Raw genomic sequence first — 24,051 nt, forward strand, 5'->3', positions numbered from 1 at the left:
AAGGCCCAGAGGTGAAAGGGAAGCGAGTTTTATTTTTTGTTTTTTTCCACTTTCATGGAATGAGACATGCTCTATGGTGCTGGGAACAGCAGTGACCAGGACAATGCTGGCTCTGCCTCATGGAGCTCCCAGTGCATAAAGGACACAGATCCATCGCCCATGATGACCCAGGGTCCTCAGGGATGGGATGACAGAGCTCAAAAGGGGGTGCCTGACCCAGCCAGGAAAGTCAGTGAGGGCTTCCTGAAGGAGGTGCCAACTGAACTAAGGCTGGAAGAATGAGGTGCAGCTGATTAAGGGAAGGAGGGGGGCCAGGCGTGGTGGCTCACACCTGTAATCTCAGCACCTTGGGAGGCTAAGGTGAGTGGATCGCTTAAGTCCAGGAGTTGGAGACCAGCCTGGGCAACACAGTGAGACCCCATCTCTATAAAAATAAATAGATAAAAGAAAAAAAGGGAAGAAAAGGGCAGAGGGAACAACGTAGGCAAAGGCCTAAAGGGGGGAAGCCTAGGAGTTCCTAGAAATTTCCAGCAGCCGGTCAGGCCAGAAAGGGTGGAAACAGAAGGGCCTACAAACTAAAAAAGCAAAACTGCCAAACACTAAGGGGGACATGCCTCTCACCCTCTTCTCCCAGCTATGACCTTAAGAGTTGAAGGCCTCCATTCCTAGAGAGCCGGCTGTGGGACGCGTGGCTCCCAGAGGTACCGATAACTCAGATGTCCTGCCTAGGGGTCAAGGGGCCCCGGATGCCTGGGCTGGAAACCACAGCAGCAATTCCTGTTTTTCCTCCGTATTTAATTCGGTATCACAGGAGCACCAATAAATAGTTTCTTCCCGCCCCTGCAATCTTCCTCCTGCCCCGGGCAGGGCCTTAGGGGCCGGCGATCCCGTCGGGGGCAAGGCACCTGCAACCCAGAACGCAGCAGCTCAGGCCAGCTGAACTGCCGCGCCTGCGGAATTCCCGGGAGAGTTCCAAAGCGGTGCGTCCAAGTTTTCCGGCAGTGGGCGGGGCCTAGGAACGCCCCCGCGCCCCGCGCCGGCGGAGCCTCGAAGGGACTTCCCCCCAAGAGGGCGGGGCCACTCAGGGGGCGTGGTTTTCGTCAGCGGCGGTCACGATGACGTCCATCCAAATGCGCATGGCTTCGGGGCTCGGAGCCACCATGTAGAAAAGGCGTTCGTAGGTTTTGACGCAGAAGGTCAGGCGGGGGTTGGGGCTCTGGAATAAGCAGAAAGTGAGGGTAATTCAGACAAAAGACACCGGCCACAGTCTGGGTGCGAACCCAGCCTTGCTACTTATAGTCTGTGTGGCACTGGACAAGGTACTTAAGTATCTGAATGTCAGTTTCCCTGTCTTCCCAAATGATGCCACCTACCTCACTGGGTTATAAGGATTAAATGAATTAACACAAGGAAGTGCTTAAAATTATCATATGTAGAGCGCTATTGATAAATTAGGGGCAAGATAAATTTTTTTTCTTTTTTTTTTGAAACTGAGTCTGGCTCTGTCGCCAGGCTGGAGTGCAGTGGCGCAATCTTGGCTCACTGCAACCTCCACCTCTCGAGTTCAAGCGATTCTCCTGCCTCAGCCTCCCGAGTAGCTGGGACTACAGGCGTGTGCCACCACGCCCAGCTAATTTTTGTATTTTTAGTACAGACCAGGGTTTCACAGTGTTTGTCAGGATGGTCTCGATCTCTTGACCTCGTGATCCGCCTGCTTCGGCCTCCCAGAGTGCTGGGCTTACAGGCGTGAGCCACTGTGCCAGGCCGAGAAATTTAAAAGTAGGACTTATGACGCCTTCTCTCAGCCTAACTTCTCCTATATTAGAAATACAGGCATTCAAATTCCACCTCCCCAAAATCTAGGTCCCCTTGTACCTGGGAAAAGTTAGTGTCTAGAATCCGTTATTTGAGTACCCACTTGCCAATCCCAAATTGAGTAAATCCCTTATGTCCATAATCTGTTTTTAGCCCTCTCAATAACCCTGATGGAATGGGTTGATGCGTACCCATTCTACACGTGAGAAAACTCAGGCCGGCCGGGCTGGGTGGCTCACGCCTGCAATCCCAGCACTTTGGGAGGTTGAAGCGGATTGATTGCTTGAACTCAGGAGTTCAAGACCAGCCTGGGCAACAGAGGGAGACCCCATCTCTACAAAAAAATACCAGAAAAACAAAACAAAACAAATTAGCTGGGTGTGGTGGCACACACATATAGTCCTAGCTACTCAGGAGGCTGAGGCAGGAGGATTGCTTGAGCCCGAGAGATAGAGGCTGCAGTGAGCTATGATTGTACCACTGCACTCCAGCCTGGTCTATGGAGCAAGAAAAAAAAAAAGAAAAAGAAACAAAGAAAACTAAGGCTAAAGGCTAAAGAAAGGAAGTCACTTTCCTGATGTCACATAGCTGAGATTCCAACCTAATTGCTAAAAAGCCACAGTTTGGTTATTCTCCACAGAGCTTTCTAAATATTGTATCAGTTGCCAACATTTAAATTTTTGGCACTGTGCTTTATACAAGTTCCAATTCCTGAGTTCTCTGGGAAAAAATAAATATAAGACAACACCATGGGACCCACTCCCACTTGGCAACTGTTGGCAGGAGCCAACTAACAACCATCTCCTTTATTTATTTTTCATTTAAAAAATAAAAAAAAAAAAACAGAGATGGGATCTTGCTATGTTGACCATGCTGGTCTCAAACTCCTGGCCTCCTGCAGTCCTCCCATCTTGGTCTCCCAAAATGTTGGGATTATAGGCATGAGCCACGACGCCTGGCAGATCATCTCCTTTAGATGCTCCCAGGCTGCCCGACCCTTGCTGTGACCTCTCCATTCATTTATTCCCAGTTGGACATCAGAGTCTGCCATATTTTGGCTCTAAAACTTTTGCTCCAAGAAAATTAACAGTGACAGGCCAGGTGCGGTGGCTCACGCCTGTAATCCGAGCACTTTGGGGGGCCAAGGTGGGCAGATCATGAGGTCAGGAGTTCGAGACCAGCCTGGCCAACACAGTGACACCCCATCTCAACTAAAAATACAAAAGTTAGCCAGCTGTGGTGGCACGCCTGTAATCCCAACTACTTGGGAGGCTGAGGCAGGAGAATCGCTTGAACCCGGGAGGCAGAGGTTGCAGTGAGCCAAGATGGCGCCACCGCACTCCAGCCTGGGCAACAGAGCCAGACTCCATCTAAAAAAAAAAAAAGAGCCACGTGTGGTGCGGTGGTTCACGCCTGTAATCCCAGAACTTTGAGAGGCTGAGGTGGGCAGATCATGAGGTCAGGAGTTTGAGACCAACCTGGCCAACACAGTGAAACCCCGTCTCTACTAAAAATACAAAAATTAGCCGGGCACGGTGCCTGTAATCCCAGCTACTCAGGAGGCTGAGGCAGGAGAATTGCTTGAACCAGGGAGGCGGAGGTTGCAGTGAGCCGAGATGGCGCCACTGTACTCAGGCCTGGGCGACAGAATGAGACTCTGTCTTAAAAAAAAAAAAAAAGAAGAAAATTAACAGTGGCTGAAGGCCAGAGTCTGGGCTCTTAATTTTTAGTCCCTGCAGTCAGGTGACCTGTTTGTTTTCTCTGCGACAAACACGTACTCCTATGAGTACCCTGACAGGAGAAGCTGCGGGTGGCTTTCCCCAGGATGAGCCAGGGATGAGATAAGGCCTGACTCCAACTGAGTCTCCAACTGGGAGGTCAGGGTGACATTGAGGGGCTTCACCTTGAAGGCACAGCGTAAGTGGTCATAATAGACTTCCTCAATGGCCTGGAAGTAGATGACACCTTTGAGCTTGGTCTCTTCCTTGTCTGGTAGGGGAGGTAAGAGAAAAAGAGAGCCAGTGAGAAAGGTGTGTCTGTGTGTGTCGAGGTGAGGGTCATTGGCCCTAAGTCCTGAGACTGGATTTGGGTAAGAAACATGGTGACAAGAGTCTGAAGGTCTCTAAAGGTTGGGAGGTGAGTGAATGTTAACGCTGGATGGGAGACTGGGCACAGAAACTGGACATGATTGGGGAGTGGGGTCTGTGGAGCTGGAATCCTAGGCCCTGAATGCTCGGCCTCTGAGAAGGGAAGGAACTCAGGGAGTGCTCAAGTGCTTTCTAGGTATAATCTCTAACCCTCTCAAACTCTCCTGGAGGGGTAAGTACATTTATCTCCATCTGACAGATGTGGAAACCAAGACTCAGAGAAGTTAAGGCACCCAGCACAAGTCACACAGCCAGAGCTGACAGAGCCAGGACTCACCAAGTAGAGTCAAATGGTCATACAGGTTAGGGAAGAAGGATTTGAGACAATACAAGCGTCCAAGGAGGCTGGGTGCAGTGGCTCAAGCCTGTAATCCCAGCACTTTAGGAGGCTGAGGCAGGCAGATCACAAGGTCAGGAGATCGAGACCATCCTGGCTAACACAGTGAAACCCTGTCTCTACTAAAAATACAAAAAATTAGCCAGGTGTGGTGGCATGAGCCTGTAGTCCCGCCTATTCAGGAGGCTGAGGCAGGAGAATCGCTTGAGCCGGGGAGGTGGAGGTTGCAGTGGGCTGAGATCGCACCACTGCACTCCAGCCTGGGCGACAGAGCAAGACTCTGTCTCCAAAAAACAAAAACAAAAACAAAAACAAAAAAAAGTGTCCAAGGAGAGGTTTGGAATAATTGATTCTCCTAGAGAAGAAGGACAAGGGCCCCAGACTCCTGGCCATTGGGGGGCTGGGGGCAGCTGACAGTGCAGGTTCAGACTCATGGGTGTCTTAGGAACATGGGCCCTGGGAAGCTTGAATTGTACTAAACTGTTATCTATGTCCCTGAGGAGGACTGGGGGTTTGAATTCTGGGTGGCTTAAAGAGGGGCTGGGGATCTGGATTCCAGGGTCTGGAGGAGAGAGAGAGCTGGGAGCCTGGACTCCTGGGTTGTAGGGAAGTTAGGAGCTAGGGAACCAAACTTCTGGATCCTGGGGAACATGGAAAGTGGGGGCCAGGACTTCTGGTGCCTGTAGAGGAAAGGCCTCCGGAGTGGAATTCCAGCGTCCTGGGGCCCATGGTGGCCAGGCTGGGCTTACCCGCATAGTAGGCCAAGCGGCGGGCTTGGCGGTCAAAGCAGAACCATCGCTTCCTCCAGGTCTTGATGCGGCCGCCCATCTTCACCAGGGGTCCACGGCAGCAGCACCCAGACACCTGCACATGTGGGCAGTTTTCCGGGTTGTGGCCCCATCCCTCCAGATGCTGCCGGAGATCCAAGATTCGCGGGCCTGGAGGGTGGGGTGGGGTGGGTGGGGCCTGGGGAGCAAAGAGACGGGGCAGCTGATGTAAGGGGCGGGGGATTCTACAGCCTGGAGCCCCTCGAGGGGAGCAAGTCATAGCAGCTTGCATGTAAGGCCCGCTACAGCCTTTAGAGGGTAATATTAACTAGGACCATCTGACAAATGCAACGGCTACGTGGATTGACTGTGATGCTCTGCCCAGGACTTTATGGACATCAGCTCCTTGGCACTTCATGGCAACTGTGAGCCCCATTTTACAAATGAGCAAAATGAGGTACAGAGAGATGACATAATGCACCCGAGGTCACACAGAGCTTCTAGGCAGCAGAACTGGGACACGAACCCAGGTATTTCTGACCCTAGAGCTCACCCTGAAACATCAGAGGCCTATCAAAAGAAATAAAGATCGGGCCGGGTGTGGTGGCTTATGCCTGTAATCTCAGAACTTTGGGAGGCTGAGGTAGGAGGATCCCTTAGGCCTAAGAATTCAAGGGCAGCCTGGGCAACATAGTGAGATCCTGTCTCTGAAAAAAAAAAATTTTTTTTGGAAAAAAGAAATGAAGATTGGAGCCTGTGTGGTGGCTTAAGCCTGTAATTCCAGCTACTCAGGAGGCTGCGGTGGGAGGATCCCTTGATCCCAGAAGTTGGAAACCAGCCTGGGCAACACAGAAGACCCCTTCTCTATTTAAAAAAAAAAAAAAAAAAAAAAAAAAAAGGAGAGAGAGAAGAGAAGCTATGTGCAGTGGCTCATGCCTGTAATCTCAGCACTTTGGGAAGCTGAAGTGGGAGGATCACTTGAGGCTATGAGTTGGAGACCAGCCTGGGCAATATAGTGAGACCCCATCTCTACTAAAAATCCAAAAAATTAGCTGGGCCTAGTGCTGCACACCTGTAGTTCCAGCTACTAAGGAGGCTGAGCCCAGGAGGATCACTTGAGCCCAGGAGATCGAAATTGCATTGAGCTATGATTGCACCACTGCACTCCAGCCTGGGTGATTGAGTGAGACCCTGTCTCAAAAATAAAAAAGAAAGAGAGAGCTTGTTTACATTATTATTGTTGTGATGAAATTAATGAATATAATCCTCTGCTAAGTACTTTCTAGGTATAATCTCTGCCCCCTCAAACTCTCCTGAAGGGGTAAGTACATTTATCTCCGTTTCACAGATGTGGAAACCAAGACTCAGAGAGGTTAAGTCACTCGGCACAAGTCACACAGCCAGAGCTGACAGAGCCAGGACTCACCAGGTAGAGTGGTCACCTCAGATGGTCATACAGGTTGGGGAGGAGGATTTAAGGCAATACAAGTGTCCACTATTTATGAGAGCCTGACCATGAGCTGGTCTGATCCAACCTATTCTTCCCAAATAATCCCTGCAAACAGTGGTATGATTCCGGAGGTCAAACTGAGGTTCAGGGTAGTACATCTCAGATTTCTTCATGCAAGCAGATCCGCTGGGGATTTTGTTAAAATGTTAAAATGCAGACTCTGATTCAGTCATTTCAGGGTGGAGTCTGGAGTAGGGGGAGAGGTTCTGCATGTCTGACAAGCTCCCAGGTGGGCCCTGATGCTGCTGTTCCACCAGCCACACTTTGAGTGTCAAGGAGTTAGAAAACTGAAGCAGGATGGGTGCGGTGGCTCACACGTGTAATCCCAGCACTTTGGGAGGCCAAGAGGGGAGGATCACTTAAACCCAGGAGTTTGAGACCAGCCTGGGGCAACATGGCGAAACCCCGTCTCTACAAAAAATACAAAAATTAGGCTGGGCGTGGTGGCTCACGCCTACAATCCCAGCACTTTGGGAAGCCAAGGTGGGGGGATCACCTGAGGTTGGGAGTTTGAGACCAGCCTGACCAACATGGAGAAACCCTGTCTCTGCTGAAAATACAAAATTAGCCAGGCGTGGTGGCGCATGCCTGTAATCCCAGCTACTCAGGAGGCTGAGGCAGGAGAATCGCTTGAACTCGGGAGGTGGAGGTTGCGGTGAATCAAGATGGCACCATTGCACTCCAGCCTTGGCAACAAGAGCGAAACTCCATCTCAAAAAAAAAATACAAAAATACAAACATTAGCCAGGCATGGTGGTGTGTGCCTAGGATCCCGGCTAATTAGGAGGCTGAGGTGGGAGGATCGCTTGAGCCCAGGAGGTGGGGGTTGCAGTGAGCCGAGATCACACCACGGCACTCCAGGCTGGGTGACAAAGGGAGACCATGTCTCAAAAAAAAAAAAAGAAAGAAAAGAAAGAAAACTGAAGCAAGGCCAGAGCAAGAAGGGATGAGAAACAGAGATGAGATCTGCTGGTTGGAGACAGGAGAGTGAGGTGGGGAAATGAGAAGGATTAGGGAGGAGGGAAAGGAAGGGAGGGAAAGGCCAGGTTTAAAGAGTACCCGCTGGGCCTGCAATCTCCCCAAATCCACACAGAAAGACCAAGGATCACCACTGTGTGTGGAAGCTCCCGCTCTGTGTCAGGCACTATGCCAAGTGGTCACTGTGATTACCTCGTTTCTTCTCCAAAAGAACCCATTAATGTTCCTGCTAGACAGATCAAGAAACTGAGGCTTTAAGAAGAGGTGACTCTCCAAGGTCACCAAACTAGGATGTAGGGGAGCTGGGCCCCAATCTAGGAGGAGACCAGGGATGGGCTTGGGACTCCACCACTGCCCGGCTGTGTCACCTCCACAGAACTCCTGCCCCTCTGGGAGCCTCAGTTCCCTATGCTAAAACACCAGGGTTATCACAGCACTCTCCTCTGGGGCTGTTTCAAGGATGAGCTGGCTGCCCTCAGGGTCTCTCACCTAGAGGTTCCTCTTCTAGGTGTGAAGCCCAGGGACACACTTGCTCACGTGCACAAAAGATAGCAGGGGTGTACGGCAGGGGACAAAGCACACAGCAGGGGACTGTTTAATAAATGATGATGCTAGAAGCCAGGCAGAACACCAGAGCAGGAGCAATTCTGTTTGTTTGTTTGTTTGTTTGTTTTGAGACAGAGTCTCGCTCTGTCACCCAGGCTGGAGAGCAGTGGTGTGATCTTGGCTCATTGCAACCTCTGCTTCCCAGTTCAAGCGATTCTCCTGCCTCAGCCTCTCGGGTAGCTGTGACTATAGGCACATGCCACCACGCCCAGATGATTTTTGTATTTTCAGTAGAGACGGGGTTTCTCCATGTTGGTCAGGCTGGTCTCGAACTCCTGACCTCAGGTGATCTGCCCACCTCAGCCTCCCAAAATGCTGGGATTACAGGCGTGAGCCACCACGCCTGGCCTGTGCTTCGTTTTTAATGAGCACAAGCTTATGCCTAACAATGCAGAAGACCCCACTGCCGTTCCTGCCTTATTTTGCTCCCTGGCTCTTATCAGCCTCTGACATGCTATTTATTTTACATATTGATGTTGCTTTGTGTCCATCTTCCCCCTTAAAACATCAGCTTCCCCCAAAGGTGGGGATTGTTATCTTGGTCACTGCTATGACCCAGGGTCTAGCACACAGTAGGCACTCAATAAATATGGGCTGAAATGAATAAGGGAAGGACAAATGGTGGTAAAAACAAAAAGGTTGGGAAGGATGTGCTTATTTATGAGACAAATTCACAAAATATGGCTTGACTGGTGCATGTGGAAAAGTATAAACACAGATTTGAAGGCTTCTCAGCAGTAGAAGTGAGATCAGGAAGAAAGTGACCACTTTCTTAATACTTTATCTATCATTCTTTTTTTTTTTTGAGGCAGGGTCTCACTCTGTCACTGAAGCTGGAGTGCAGTGGGGCGATTATAGCTCACTGCAGCCTCCACCCACTGGGCTCAAGCAATCCTCCCACCTTAGCCTTTTCCCGAGTAGCTGGGACCAAAGGCATGCACCACCACACCTGCTAATTTTTTAAATTTCTGTAGAGATGAGGGTCTGACTATGTTGCCCAGGCTGTTCTCCAGCTCCGGGACTCAAGTGATCCTCCCACCTCGGCCTCTCAAAGTGCTGAGATTATAGGCGTGAGCTATGGTGCCTAGCTTTATCATTCTTTATAACAAAACGCATTGATTCTATGAATGTTATTAGTATAGGCAAAAATGTAATTTATGTAAGGGAGTTGTCAGCTAAATCAAGAATGTGAAAAAGTCAACAGGATAAATTATTTGATTATTTCCACAAATAAATAGCATTTTCTTTAATGGGGAGGCAGAACTGTTAGAGATTAAAAGATTTAAGAGACATTAAACCAAATGCATAGCGTGTGCTTTGCATATAGATTCAAATAAATCAACTGTGAAAAGATATTTTAGGTCAGGCATGATGGTTCAGGCCTATAATCTCAGCACTTTGGCCAGAAGGGAGGCTCGAGGCCAGGAATTCAATACCAGCCTGGCCAACATAGTGTCTCTACTGTTAAAAATGGAAAACAAGGCCAGGCACGGTAGCTCATGCCTGTAATGCCAGCACTTTGGGAGGCCAAAGCGGGTGGATCACCTGAGGTCAGGAGTTCAAAACCAGCCTGGCCAACATGGTGAAACCCCGTCTCTACTATAAATACAAAATTAGCCAGGCATGGTGGTGGGCGCCTGTAATCCTAGCTACTCCAGAGGCTGAGGCGGGAGAATCGCTTGAACCCTGGAGGCGGAGATTGCAGTGAGCCGAGATTGTAATACTGCACTCCAGCTTGGGCAACAAAGTGAGACTCCATCTTGGAAAAAAAAAAAAAAAAGGAAAAGAAAAATAATAAATAAATTTTTAAAAACATATTTTGGAGACAATGAGAGAAATGTGAATATGGACTATATATTACAATATAATGAAATTAATAATCTCATAAGATGTGACAATGGAATTTTTGTTATGTTAAAAAAAAAAAAAAACTTATTGGCCAGGCACAGTGGCTTACACTTTTAATCCCAGCACTTTTTGAGGCCAAGGCACACAGATCACCTGAGGTCAGGAGTTCAAGACCAGCCCGGACAGCATGGCAAAACCCCATCGCTACTAAAAACAAACAAAAAAAATAAATGGGTGTGGTGGTGGGCACCTGTACTCCCAGCTACTCGGGAGGCTGAGGTAGAAGAATCGCTTGAACCAGGGAGGCAGAGGTTCCAGTGAGCTGAGATCACATCACTGCACTCTAGCCTGGGCGACAAGAGTAAAACTCTGTCCCCCAAAAAACAAGCCTATCTATTGGAGATACACAGTGATGTTTGAGTGAAAGGATACAATATTTTGCTTTAAAATATTTCAGTGCAGAGTGGGATGTAGGTATGGGATTAGTAAAATAAAATTGGTGGCTGGGCACCAATGCCCTAGAATTATTCTTATAATTCTAGCAGCTTGGAGGCTGACATGGGAGGATTGTTTGAGGCCAGGAGTTTGAGATCAGCCTGGACAACATAGCAAGACTCTATCTCTACAAAAATAAAATACATTAAAAATATAGGAGTGCAGAAGACTTATGAGAAAAAAAGAAAAATATTAAAAATAAAAATAAAATATATATACCTAGTACATACACAAATTAAAATGTTAAATAAAATAAATAAAAAGTTGGCAAGTACAAGATTCAATATTGAAAATGATTAAAGCTGCGCAGTGGGCACCTGGGGGTCTATTAATCTACTCCTTCTCTCATGCATATGCTTGAATATTTCTATCGTAAAAAGGTTTTTTGTTTTTTTTTTTGAGACAGAATCTTGGTCTGTCACCAAGACTGGAGTGCAGTGGTGTGATCTTGGCTCACTGCAACCTGCACCTCCCAGGTTCAAGCAATTCTCTGCCTCAGCCTCCTGAGTAGCTGGGATTACAGGTGCCCGCCACCATGCCCGGCTAATTTTTTGTATTTTTAGTAGAGACGGGGTTTCACCATCTTGGCCAGGCTGGTCTTGAACTCCTGACCTCATGATCCACCCACCTCAGCCTCCCAAAGTGCTGGGATTACAGGCGTGAGCCACTGCGCCCGGCCTAAAAAGTTTTTTAAATAAATAAAAATAAAAACAGTTTTTTGGTTTTGATTTTTTTTTTTTTTTGAGACAGATTTTCGCTCTTATTGCCAAGGCTGGAGTGTAGTGGTACAATCTCGGCTCACTGCAACCTCCACCTGCGGGTTCAAGTGATTCTCATGCCTCAGTCTCCCGAGTAGCTGGGATTACAGGCATGTGCCACCATGCCCGGCTAATTTTTGTATTTTTAGTAGAGATGGGGTTTCACCATGCTGGCCAGGCTGGTCGCAAACTCAGGTGATCCACCCGCCTTGGCCTCCCAAAGTGCTGGGATTACAGGCATGAGCCACTGCACCCAGCCAAAAACAAAATTTTAAATGATTTTTAAAAGTTCCAGCATGGACTGGGCATGGTGGTTCACGCTATAATCCCAGTACTCTGGGAGGCTGAGGCAGGAGGATTGCTTGAGGCCAGGAATAAGTCCCAGCATGGACTTGTCCTCCTTCTGTACTGACTGCTGACATTGTCACCAATGTACAGAAGAGGAAAATGAGGCAGAGTAGAGCAAGTTACCCGAGGACCTGCCACACATGGAGATGACCATCATCCGGTCATGGGAACAGGAACTGGTCCTCTGCAGTTCCCTTTCCCTTGCCAAGCCCAGGACAATTTTCTGTTCAATTGGAGGAGAGGAAAGGGTCAGATGTAAGAAAGGGCATAGGTCAGGGGGAGAAACAGAGCAGGGAGAGGTGGGCGTGAGGGCGGGGGTGGGACTGACCGTGATGGCAGGAACAGCAGGGCCTGAGGAACCTTCCGTGCCCCTTCTTGTTCCTTCCTGTGGATTCAGGATGAAGCACTCAATGAGGATCCCAGCCCATAAGATGGTAGGGTGGCTGGAGAATGTCCTAGCTTCTCTGTTCTGAGGGTACAGGGACTGGGGGCCTGGACTCCTGGGTATGAGGGAGGATGGGCTGGGGGCCTGGACTCCTGGGTCTGAGGGTGGAGGGGCTGGGGGCCTGGACCCCTGGGTCTGAGGGAGGTGGAGTTGGGGGTCTCCCAGGTCTGAGGGAGGAGAGGCTGGGGCAGTCTTCTGTTCCGAAGAGGATGGCCTGGGCTCTCACCCGGGCCTTGAGCAGCCGCTCCCTCTCCGCCATGGCCTGCTGCAGGAGCCGCTCCATGTGGGCAATGTCTGGATGGATGGCCCCACAGCTAGGAGGAGGGAACACAGACGGGGTGGGTTACAGTGGCTGGGCCTCTTCTTCCATCTCCCCACCTTCTCTCTGATGTCTCACCTATTCCCACGGCCACAGTTCAGCAGCTGGTAGAGGGGGTATCTGCCGGAGTCCCCCACTGCTGGCGGGAGAGCTGAGGCCTCCAGGGATTCTAGGGTAGAGGGGACCAGGTTACAGGGCTGGATACACCCTGGCCTGAGCCTATCCACTTCTCCCCTGCAGGCATAGGTGCGGGTTTCCTCCATCCTCTGCTGCAGGATGAGTGCTGATGTGGGAAGGAAGTGGGGAACAGGGGGATCCTCACCAGTACAATGGAAGGACAGAGGTCGGGGGGATCCTCTCTGGCTCCCCCTCTCCCCCCTTTTCCGGGGCAGGCTCCCAGTCCTCTGGAGGCCAATGGAGCCCTGAAAACACAAAAGGCTCATGAGCATAGGAAAAAGGCTTGATCTCCAACCTAAGTCAGAGCACTGCCCAGTGAAGCCACCACCCAGTCAGCACAAATCAAAACACTACTGTCCATGTGCTGAGTGAAAGGACCTCACAGGGGTATGATCCCGTTTATAAGAAATATCAAGCTGAGCACAGTGGCTTATGCCTGTAATCCCAGCACTTTGGGAGTCCAAGGCAGGTGGATCACCTGAGGCCGGGAGCTCGACACCAGCCTGGCCAATATGGTGAAACCCCATCTCTACTAAAAATACAGAAATTAGCCGGGCATGGTGGCACGCGCCTGTAGTCCCAGCTACTCGGGAGGCTGAGGCAGAAGAATCGCTTGAACCCGGGAGGTGGAGATTGCAATGAGCTGAGATCGCGCCACTGTACTCCAGCCTGGGCGACAGAGCAAGACTCTGTCTCAAAAAAAAAAAAAAAAAACACAGAAAAGAAAAAAAGAAATGTCCGGAACAGGCAAATTAACATAGAAATGGGAAGTAGAATTGTGGTTGCCCGGACTGGGGTAGATCGGGGAACCGAGAGGCTAAGGGATGCAGGGTTTCTTTTGGGGGATAATGAAAATGTTCTAAAATTGATTGTGGTAATGTTTGCGCAACGTTGAATATACTAAAAGACACAGAACTGTACATTTTAAATGAATGAATTGTATAGGGACGTGAATTATGCCTCAATAAAACTCTTTCTAAAAATCCCACTGTGGGCCAGGTGTGGTGGCTCACACCTGTAATCCCAGCACTTTGGGAGGCCGAGGCGGGTGAATAACTTGAGGTCAGGCGTTTGAGACCAGCCAGGCCAACATGGTGAAACCCCGTCTCTACTAAAAATACAAAAATTAGCCAGGTGTGGTGGCACATGCCTGTAATCCCAGCTTTTCAGGAGGCTGAGGCAGGAGAATTGCTTGAACCTGGGAGGCAAAGGTTCCAGTGAGCCGAGATCTCGCCACTGAAATCCAGGCTGGACGACAGAGCGAGACTCTGTCGCAAAAAAAAAAAAGTCCCACTGCAGCCAGGCGCAGTGGCTCACACCTATAATGCCAGCACTTTGAGGCTGAGGCAGGCAAATTGCTTGAGCCCAGGAGTTGGAGATGAGCCTGGGCAACATGGTGAAACTCTGTCTCTACAAAAAAATAGAAAAATTAGCTGGGCATAGTGGCACGTGCCTGCAGTCCCAGCTACTGTGGAGGCTGACGTGGAAGGATCGCTTGAACCCCGGAGGTCAAGGTTGCAGGGAGCTGAGATTGTGCCACTGCGCTCCAGTCTGGGCGACAGAGTGACAGCCTGTCTCAAAAAAAATAAGTAAAACAAAAAAACAAAAAACCCACCGTGCTGGTGGCTATGTAGGAAACCCAGATGCCCTCACATGATACTGGGGGTGTTCTACTGGAACAAGCTTTATGGAGGGCAACTTGGCTTTTTTAAAAAAAATCTGAATGACAAATGCATAAACCATGGAGCCCCAATTCCAATTCTAGAAATTCAGCGGATGGATACACTCATACACATGCAAAGTGATCTGAGTTCAAGGTGATTCCCTGCAGTGCCATCTGTGCTAGCAAAAGCCTGGAGACCACCTAAATGCCCATCAGAAGGGGACAAGGTAAATGAACCATGGCTTATGCACTCCATAGACCATTTTTTTTTTTTTTGAGTTGGAGTCTCACTCTGTTGCCCAGGCTGGAGTGCAGTAGCACAATCTCGGCTCATTGCAACCTCCGCCTCCTGGGTTCAAGCGATTCTTCTGCCTCAGCCTCACGAGTAGCTGGGATTACAGGCATGTGCCACCACGCCAGGCTAATTTTTGTATTTTTAGTAGAGATGGGGTTTCACCATATTGGCCAGGCTGGTCTCGAACTCCTGACTTCAAGTGATCCACCTGCCTCGGCCTCCCAAAGTGCTGGGATTACAGGCGTGAGCCACCGCACCCAAGTGACTCTAAGGACAATTCTGCAGTGTAGAACAAGAGGAAGATGCATCCTACATCCAGGTAGAACATAATATCCAAAAAAGAAAAGAAAAAAAACAGAACATAATATCCAAGAGAAAACCAAGGCCAGGTGTGGTAGCGTGCACCTGTAGTCCCAGCTACTCAGGAGGCTGAGGTGGGAGGATCACTTGAGCCCAGGAGGTTGACCCTGCAGTGAGCCATGATCATGCCACTGCACTCCAGCCTGGGCGACAGTGAGATCTATCTCTTAAAGTTTTTTTTTTTTTTTTTTTAAGCGAGTACAGAACAGCATAGAATAAACTAGGTATGCATAAAAGAGGGAGAAAGTACATACATGACTAGCTGTGTCAACACAGAATATCTCTGGGGAACACATGGGAAATTGGTAACCCTGGTGGCCCTCAGGAAGTGAACAGCGTAGGAGGGGGAACAAGAGCCGCAGAGTCTTCTCTGAATATCCTCCCACACCATGTGAATTTTGAACGAGGAGAATGTTAACTTTTTAAAAGCAAATAAACATGACAACTAAATGCAACCTGTGTTCCTGAGCCAAGAAAAAAAAAGTTTGTTTTTTTTTGTGAATTTTTTGCTAGAAAAAACACTGGTGGGGCCAGGAACAGTGGCTCATGCCTGTAATCCCAGCACTCTGGAAGGCCGAGGCAGGCAGATCACCTGAGGTCAGGAGTTCGAGACCAGCCTGGCCAACATGGTGAAACCCCGTCTCTACTAAAAATACAAAAATAAGCTGGGCGTGGTGGTGGGCACCTGTAATTCCAGCTACTCGGGAGTCTGAGGCAGGAGAATCACTTGAACCAGGGAGGCAGTGGTTGCAGTGAGCCGAGATCACACCACTGCACTCCAGCCTGAGCGGCAGAGCAAGACTCTGCCAAAAAGGAAAAAAAAAAAGAAAGAGCAAGAGAGAGAAAAAGGAAGGAAGGAAGGAAGGAAGGGAAGGAGGAAGGGAGGGAGGGAGGGAAAAACATTGGTGGAACAACTGACAAAATACAAATAAGGTCTGTGGATTCTAATAGTGTTGTCTCAGTGGTAGTTTCCTGAAATCGATCATTGAACTGTGGTTGTGTAAGAGAATGGGCTTGACATTAGGTAGTAAATTTAGGAATATTTAGGGGTTAAGGGGAATCATGGGTAAGAAAATAATGGGCCAGGCATGAAGGCTCACACCTGTAATCCTAGCACTTTGGGAGGTCCAGGGAAGGCAGATCACTTTAGCTCAGGAATTTGAGACCAGACTGGGGCAATATAGTGAGACCCCATGTCTACAAAGAATACAAAAATTAGCCTGGCGCATGTCTGTAATCCCAGCTACTTGGGGGGCTGAGGCAGGAGAATCGCTTGAGTCTGGGAGGTAGAGGCTGCAGTGAGCCAAGATCGCACCATTACACTCCACTCCAGCCTGGGCGACAGAGCGAGACTGTCTCAAAAATTGAAAACTAAAAAAAATAAAAACTCTGGGAGTTGAGAAATGTTAGCTCCACTTCACAGAGAAGAAACTGAGGCTCAAATCCCCGTGCTTTACTTGACTTTTTCCTTCCTTCCAGCCACATTCCCAGCACTTCCTAGCTGGGAGATATTAGATACTTGGCACTGAGGAACCAAGTGGGCAGGTCAGACCCCAGCTTTGTCTGCAGGGCACTTATGTTGTAGGAACTGCATAAGCCATCAGCAGGCCATAGAAACAGGCCGGTTCGGGTTCAAATCCCAGCTCTGCCACTTCCTGGGTGCATGACGTAGGCAAGTCATTTCTCTTCTCAAGCGAGGTGTCCTCTCTGTAAAGTGGGTAACATCTCACTGCCCTTCCTGGGTTGTTGCAAGGATTAAATGAGTGACCTCCTGCAATGCATGTAGAAGCATGCATGGCCCCCAGGTGAGATCCAGGAGCTAAGCAATGATCCACATTGGTGGGTACAGGGTGCACCTGGGCTTAGAGGCCTTCTGTGCACAGGGGCCAACAAGTCAGGTGACAACTCCATAGGACTGGACATGGCGTCCCACCAAATATTTTCATATATGCAATTTACTAATAAGGGTAATTGCTATCCTAAGTCACGTTGCCTGGCAACACAGCTGACACCTACCTTCATCAGGTTTCCAGGGGAAGCAGCCAGAAAGTTAATTTCCCATACAGAAGAACATCTGCTAACCCTTCACCCAAATAATAACGGAACCTGCTTGTGAGGGTTCTTCCCAAGAAAAAATGAAATTTTATATATTAGGTTGAGCCAGGGGAATTGCCAGTATACGACTGTTTCTTGCCTCCAAATATTAGCAATTCCATAAGATTCAAAGTGATAAAATGGTTTAGAACAGACCCTGACCTATATTAAGTGCTTTAAAATTAGTGTTATTAATATTGATTAATAAATAACAAGATTTTTTTTTTTTAAGATGGAGTCTCGCTCTGTTGCCCAGGCTGTCATGCAGTGGTGCGACCTTAGCTCACCGAAACCTCCATCTCCTGGGTTCAAACTATTCTCCTGCCTCAGCCTCCCGAGTAACTGGGATTATAGGCACGCACCAGCACACCCAGCTAATTTTTTTTTTTTTTTTGAGACAAGGTCTCGCTCTGTTGCCCAGGCTGGAGTGCAGTGGCATGATCTCAGCTCACTGCAACCTCCGCCTCCCAGGTTCAAGCAATTCTCCTGCCAAAGCCTCCTGAGTAGCTGGGACTAGGCTAATTTGTTGTATTTTTAGTAGAGACAGGGTTTCACCATGTTAGCCAGGCTGGTCTCGATCTCCTGACCTTATGACCTGCCTGCCTCTGCCTCCCAAAGTGCTAGGATTACCAGCGTGAGCCACTGCACCTGGCCGTTTTTTTTTTTTTGTTTTTTTTTTTTTTGAGACAGAGTCTCGCTCTGTCACCCAGGCTGGAGAGCAGTGGCATGATCTCGGCTCACTGCAACCTCCGCCTTCCGGGTTCAAGCGATTCTTCTGTCTCAGCCTCCCAAGTAGCTGTGACTACAGGCATGCACCACACCCGGCTAATTTTTGTATTTTTAGTAGAGACGGGGTTTCACCATGTTGGCCAGGCTGGTCTCGAACTCCTGACCTCGTGCTCCGCCTGTCTCCGCCTCCCAAAGTGCTGGGATTACAGGTGTGAGCCACCGCGCCCAGCCAATTTTTTGTATTTTTAGTAGAGATGGGGTTTCACCAAGTTGGCCAGGCTGGTCTTGAACTCCTGTCCTCAAGGGATCCACCCACCTCGGCCTCTCAAAGTGCTGGATTACAGGCATGAGCTGACGCACACTGTTATTATTTATTTATTTTTAAGACAAAGTCTCACTCTGTCGCCCAGGTCTGGAACTCCTGACCTCAGGTGATCCATCTGCCTCAGCCTCCCAAAATGCTGGGGTTACAGGCATGAGCCACCAAGCCCAGCCCACACACTGGTATTCTTAACAGTATTGCTTAAACTGCAGGATGGCTTGAGCCTGGGAGGCAGATCGTGTCACTGCACTCTGGCCTGGGTGACAGAGCCAGACCCTATCTCAAAAAAAAAAAAAAAAAAAGGAAAAAAGAACCTAAGTTCTGAAAACAGAGTACCTGGGTTCAAATCCCAGCTCTGCCACATACTAGCTGGTTAAACAACTTAACCTCTCTTGGTGTTTTTGCCTATAACATGGAAACAAGAACCTAGCTCACAGATTTGTTGCAAAGACAAATCAGTAAGCCAATCAGCATGAAGCATTTGTAACCATGCCTTGCACACTATAATGACTCAATAAAACCATTGTTATTATTATTGCTATTGTTAATGTTATTATTATTATTATTGTAAAGTCATTAAAAATGAGGCAACTGTAAATGTATCAATGTAAAACAATCTCCAAGATAGAGTTAAGTTAAAAAATAAAAACCAGTGGGCCAGGCACAGTGGCTCACACCTGTAATCCCAGCACTTTGGGAGGCCAAGGTGGGCAGATCACCTGAGGTCAGGAGTTCGAGACCAGCCTGGCCAACATGGCAAAACCCCATCTCTACTAAAAATACAAAAATTAGCCAGGCTTGGTGGCGCATGCCTGTAATCCCAGCTACTCAGGAGGCTGAGGCTGGAGAATCGCTTGAACCCAGGAGGCGGAGGTTGCAGTGAGTTGAGATCGCACCATTGCACTCCAGCCTGGCAATAAGAGTGAAACTCTGTCTCAGAATAAATAAATAAATAAATAAATAAATAAATAAATAAAATAAAAGCCAGTGAGACCCTATCTCTACAAATTGGACCCATGCGCGGTGGCTCATGCCTGTAATCCCAGCAATTTGGGAGGCTAAAACAAGAGGACCATTTGAGCCTAAGGGTTCAAGACCAGCTTGGGCAAAAGGAAGACCCCAACTCTACAAAAATAACTTCAAAAATCAGCTGTGTATGGTGGTGTGTGGTGCATGCCTGTGGTCCCAGCTACTCAAGGAGGATCACCTGAGCCTGGGAGGTTGAGGCTGCAGTGAGCTGTGATCCCACCATTGCACTCTAGCCTGGGCAACAGAGTGAGACTCTGTCAAAAAAAAAAAGCTAGAAGAGGACTTGAAATGTTCTCAACACACAGAAATGATAAATACTTGAGGTGATAGATACCCCAATACCCTGACTTATTACACATTCTATGCATGTAATAGCATATGTACCCCATAAATATGTCCCAAATATATCATTTTTAAAAAGAAAAGCCAACTAGTAGCTAATATACACATTTTTCAGAAGGACAGGTTGAATATCCCTTCTCCAAAATACTTGGGACCAGAAGGGTTTCAGATTTGGGATTTTTTTTCAGATTTTGGAATATTTGGGTTGAGCATCCCTAACCTAAAACTCTGAAACCCAAACTGCTCCAATGTGCATTTCCTTGGAGTATCATGTAGGCACTCAAAGAGTTTCAGATTTTTGAGCATTTTGGATTAGGGATTTTTTTTGTTTGTTTTTTGAGACAAAGTCTCACTCTGTCGCCTAGGCTGGAGTACAGTGGCATAATCTCGGCTCACTGCAACCTCTGCCTTCTCAGGTTCAAGTAATTCTCGTGCCTCAGCCCTGCATCACCATGCCTGGCTAATTTTTGTATTTTTAGTAGAGATGGGGTTTCACCATATTGGCCAGGCTGGTCTCGAACTCCTGACCTCAGGTCATCCGCTTGCCTTGGCCTCCCAAAGTGCTGGGATTACAGGCATGAGCCACCATGCTGGGCGCCTGTTTTAACTATAAATGAGCTGCCCCCCCACCACCCCCGCAGTTTTAAGGAAGTCTAGAAGGATTCTCAAAACACAAGTAGCTGCGTTACTTCTGAGAAGGGGAGACCTTATTAAAATATGCTGTTTGGTTGCTTTTAAAATCTACTCCTGGGTGCACATGTTCCCATTTCGCCAGGGCAGGGGTGGGTGTTACACAGAAAAAAAATAACAATAATAAAGCTGGAGTCATAGGAATAACCCTTGGCCAACCTTCCCTATCCCCCACCGGCCCCATACAGAAAATCAGAGTGGAAGTTCTGGAGACCCCAGTTCGGGGACTCTGCTGTTAGCCCCTCCCTCCTCACTGACCAATAAGATATATGGGGAAACAGAGGCCGTGGGGGAGGCACCTGCAGGGAGCTGTGGACAGAAAAGAGGCAGGAAGAAGTAGGGGTGGCAGCGGAGTGGGCCACGGCATCCTGGAGCACCAGCAGCTGGCGGTCTGTCTTCTGGGTGAACAGCAGCTGCAAGAGATGGGGTGAAGTTTCGTGGGAGCAGGAGAGACCCCAGAGCAACTGCCAGTTTCCACGTGCTCTGGCCCATGCCTCTAGTGCCACCCATTTCTCAGAAAGAAAAACTAAGGAGAGATGGAATGTGGTCCTTCGTGTCCAGTCTCCCAATGTAGGGCTGTGGGCAGAGACTCCTGGCTCCCTGAGGAGGGGCTGGGGGCTGGACTCCTGGGTCTGAGGGAGGTGGGGCTGGGGCCTGGACTCCTGGGTCTGAGAGAGGAGGGGCTGGGGCCTGGACTCCTGAGTCTGAGGGAGGAGGGGCTGGGGCCTGGACTCCTGGGTCTGAGGGAGGAGGGGCTAGGGCCTGGACTCCTGCGTCTGAGGGAGGAGGGGCTGGGGACTGGACTTTCAAGTCTGAGGGAGGAGGGACTGAGAGGCATACAAAATCCCCATACCTTAGTGAGGGCCGGGTTGGGCTCAGAGAAGTCCCCGCCAGGTGTTCCCTGAAGGCAATTGAGCTCGAGCAGCCGGCTCCGTTCCTACCAGAAGATATGGACAGCTACGTGTCAAAGTCAGAATGGGCTGTCCCAGCTGCTTTCCCTAATGTCAGGAGACATCTGGGGTGCAGGGAGGTGGTGGGATGCCCCAGGGGGAAGTGAGGACGGTAGGGTAGGGCAGGTGACAGGTAGCTCACCTGTGACAGGGCCTGAAGGGCCTCCTCCTTCTTCCGGCTCAACCCCCGGCTCTCGGCTGCCATCTGCTCCCCCAGTGACTTGAGCTGCTCTTCCAGGACCCGGATCCGGTGCTGCAGAGCACCCCTCTGTCCCGGTTACTCATCTGTCACGGCCCCAGCCAGCTCTCCAGGCCACCCTCCCACAGAACCACATCTGCCTGGAGGGCTGGGGTTTACTCCAGCCACTCCCAGAGACCATGGGATCGGAGTGTCCAGGGCTGGGGACCCAGCGTTCAGCTCCCTGGACCCTCTTCCCTTTTGAGGGTCCAGAAGAGATCTGGGGAAGATGAAGAGAAAGGGATGGACAGAGAGAACAGTAACCAAGACAGGCCCCAAAAGACAGAGATGTAGACAAAGATTCAGGCAAAAGAAAAGATAGAAATAGAACAGAGACAAGTAGAGACAACCCGAGACGAAGGAAAAGCCAGCGGGAGAGGAAAAAGATCCAGAAGCAGGTGGGGAAAGGAGACCCAAGAAAAGCTCTTTTTTTTTTTTTTTTTGAGATGGAGTTTTGCTGTTGTTGCCCAGGCTGGAGTGCAATGGCTCAATCTCGGCTCACCGCCACCTCCGCCTCCCGGATTCAAGCAATTCTCTGCCTCAGCCTCCCGAGTAGCTGGGATTACAGGCATGCGTCACCACCCTCAGCTAATTTTGTATTTTTAGTAGAGATGGGCTTTCTCCATGTTGGTCAGGCTGGTCTCAAACTCCCAAACTCAGGTCATCTGCCTGCCTCGGCCTCCCAAAGTGCTGGGATTACAGGAGTGAGCCACCGAGCCCGGCCGAGCTTTCTAATCCAAAACTTTGGGAAACTCTGTGTTAAATATGGTCAAACATGCCCATTTTTTCCCAAGGGTCTCACAAGTCAGACCCTTGAATGTGAGGCTCCCAGGAAGGATCTGATGAAGCATCTTTTTGGAATAGAGGCAAAGAATGTGGTGGTGAATACCAAGTTTGTTCAAATCCTGGCTGTGGCGAGGCACGGTGGCTCATGTCTGTAATCCCAGCATCTTGAAAGGCCAAGGTGGGAGGATCGCTTGAATCCAAGAGTTTAAGACCAGGTGAAACCCTGTCTCTACTAAAAATACAAAAATTATCCAGGTGTAGGGGCTCGCACCTGTGGTCCCAGCTACTCGAGAGGCTGAGGTGGGAGGATCGCTTAAGCACAGGACGTGGAGGCTGCAGTGAGCTGTGAACGTGTCACTGCACTCCAGCCTGGGTGACAGAGTGAGACGCTATCTCAAAAAATAAAAATAAAAAAATCCTGGCTCTGTCCCTTACTAAGGAAACTTGGAAAAGATTACTTAAGCACCTTGACCTTCAGCTTCTTTATTTATAACGTGAAAAAAAAAAAACGTAATAGAACTTGCCTCATAAGTTTGTTGTAAGGATTCAGTGAGGAAATGCTCATGAAATATTCAGGACCATATCTGGCACATAGTAAATGTTTCATTAGTATCAGCTCTTGTTGTTACTATTCAGAAGAACATGACAGGCAGGAAACAAGGACAGAGAAAAAGGCAGGCACAGAGCAGGGGAGACAGAGAGGAGCAGCAAGGGGGGCAGCGCTGGTCAGGCATGACTCACTCTGTGCTGCGCCATGCTGGCCTGGAGTTCCTGGACCTTGGGGTCTGGCACCTGGGGCCCAGGGCTGTCCCGATCCTCCTCCTCCTGCCGGCTCTCCCGCTCCAGTTGCTGGAACTCCAGGTCCTCATAGGCACGTTGGGCCACATCCAGTTGTTCCCTCATCTATAGGTCGGAACACAAAAAGGGTGGAGGCCTGAATCCCTAAGACCCCAGGGAGTAGTGGGCTGGGGCTGGGACTCCTGGTCAGAGGAAGAAGGTGACTGAGGACTTGGATTCCTGGGTCCTGGGGAGGAGGGGGCTAAGAATCAGAGGGCCAGCTGGGCACAGTGGCTCACGCCTGTAATCCCAGCACTTTGGGAGGCCGAGGCAGGTGGATCACCTGTCAGGAGTTCGAAACCAGCCTAGCCAAAATAGTGAAACCCCGTCTCTACTAAAATGCCAAAAATTAGCTGGGTGTGGTGGTGCGCACCTGTAGTCCCAGCTACACGGGAGGCTGAGATGGGAGAATCGCTTGAACCTGGGAGGCGGAGGTTGCAGTGAGCCGAGATCGCACCACTGCACTCCAGCCTGGGCAACGAGGCGAGACTCTGTCTCAAAAAAAACAAAAAAGAAAGAACCAGATGCCATTACCTCCTGCACACCCTGCAGAAGCCGCTCGCGTTGGTCCTCTGGCTGTGAGTCGAGCTGTCCCTGGGCCTTGCGGAGTCTCTGGCGAAGACCCTCTAGGCGATCCCGTTCCTGGCTCAGCCGCCTCTGTTCCTGAAAGAACAACAAGGTTCTCACCCTCAGCTTAAGCATAGCGGGAGAAGCAGCAGCCAGCCATATCTCAGAGCCTGCCTGGGGTGTCGGCTGTACAAAGGCAGGGACTTCATCTATGTGATTCACTCCTGTGCAGGCCTGCCTCACAGTCAGCACCAAGATTTTAAAGAAATGAATGAGGCCAGGTGTGGTGGCCCACACCTGTAATCCTAGCACTGTGGGAGGCCAAAGTGGGAAGATCTCTTGAGCCCAGGTGTTTGAGACTAGCCTGGGCAACATAGGGGGAGCCCATCTCTACAAAAAAACAAAAAAATTAGTGGAGTGTGTTAGTGCACGCCTGTAGTTCCAGCTACTCGGGAGGCTGAGGTGGGAGGATTGCTTGAGCCAGGGAGATTGAGGCTGCACTGAGCTGTGTTTGCATCACTGTTCCAGTCTGGGTGACAGAGGGAGACACTGTCTCGAAAGGGAAGGAAAGGAGAAAAGACAGAAAAGAAAGAAAGAGA

The 24,051-nt window shown here is 49.5% G+C and overlaps 1 protein-coding gene across 7 annotated transcripts in view; it reads right to left on the reverse strand.

Annotated features, from left to right (window-relative positions):
- Nucleotides 1–774: 774 nt before the first annotated feature.
- PHLDB3 (pleckstrin homology like domain family B member 3) overlaps nt 775–24,051 on the reverse strand; it is a 29,644-nt gene continuing 6,367 nt past the window's right edge. For 2 of the 7 annotated variants that reach the window (XM_005259170.5, XM_047439241.1), the window contains 12 exons: nt 23,420–23,548; nt 22,790–22,951; nt 21,167–21,277; nt 20,928–21,011; nt 20,374–20,487; nt 12,696–12,795; nt 12,452–12,542; nt 12,281–12,368; nt 11,938–11,994; nt 5,049–5,163; nt 3,719–3,804; nt 775–1,216 (listed from right to left, as the gene is read on the reverse strand). In XM_005259170.5, the coding sequence (XP_005259227.1) occupies nt 1,082–1,216; nt 3,719–3,804; nt 5,049–5,163; nt 11,938–11,994; nt 12,281–12,368; nt 12,452–12,542; nt 12,696–12,795; nt 20,374–20,487; nt 20,928–21,011; nt 21,167–21,277; nt 22,790–22,951; nt 23,420–23,548 (1,272 nt within the window). In that variant the 3' untranslated portion in view covers nt 775–1,081. Of the gene's footprint in view, nt 1,217–3,718; nt 3,805–5,048; nt 5,266–11,217; nt 11,833–11,937; nt 11,995–12,280; nt 12,369–12,451; nt 12,543–12,695; nt 12,796–20,373; nt 20,488–20,927; nt 21,012–21,166; nt 21,293–22,789; nt 22,952–23,419; nt 23,549–24,051 lie in introns of those variants that run through there. The other 5 variants (XM_005259169.5, XM_047439240.1, NM_198850.4 and 2 more) reach the window with 4 other exon arrangements.

The sequence above is a fragment of the Homo sapiens genome, chromosome 19 (genome assembly GCF_000001405.40).
Source record: "Homo sapiens chromosome 19, GRCh38.p14 Primary Assembly".
Taxonomy (NCBI): domain Eukaryota; kingdom Metazoa; phylum Chordata; class Mammalia; order Primates; family Hominidae; genus Homo; species Homo sapiens.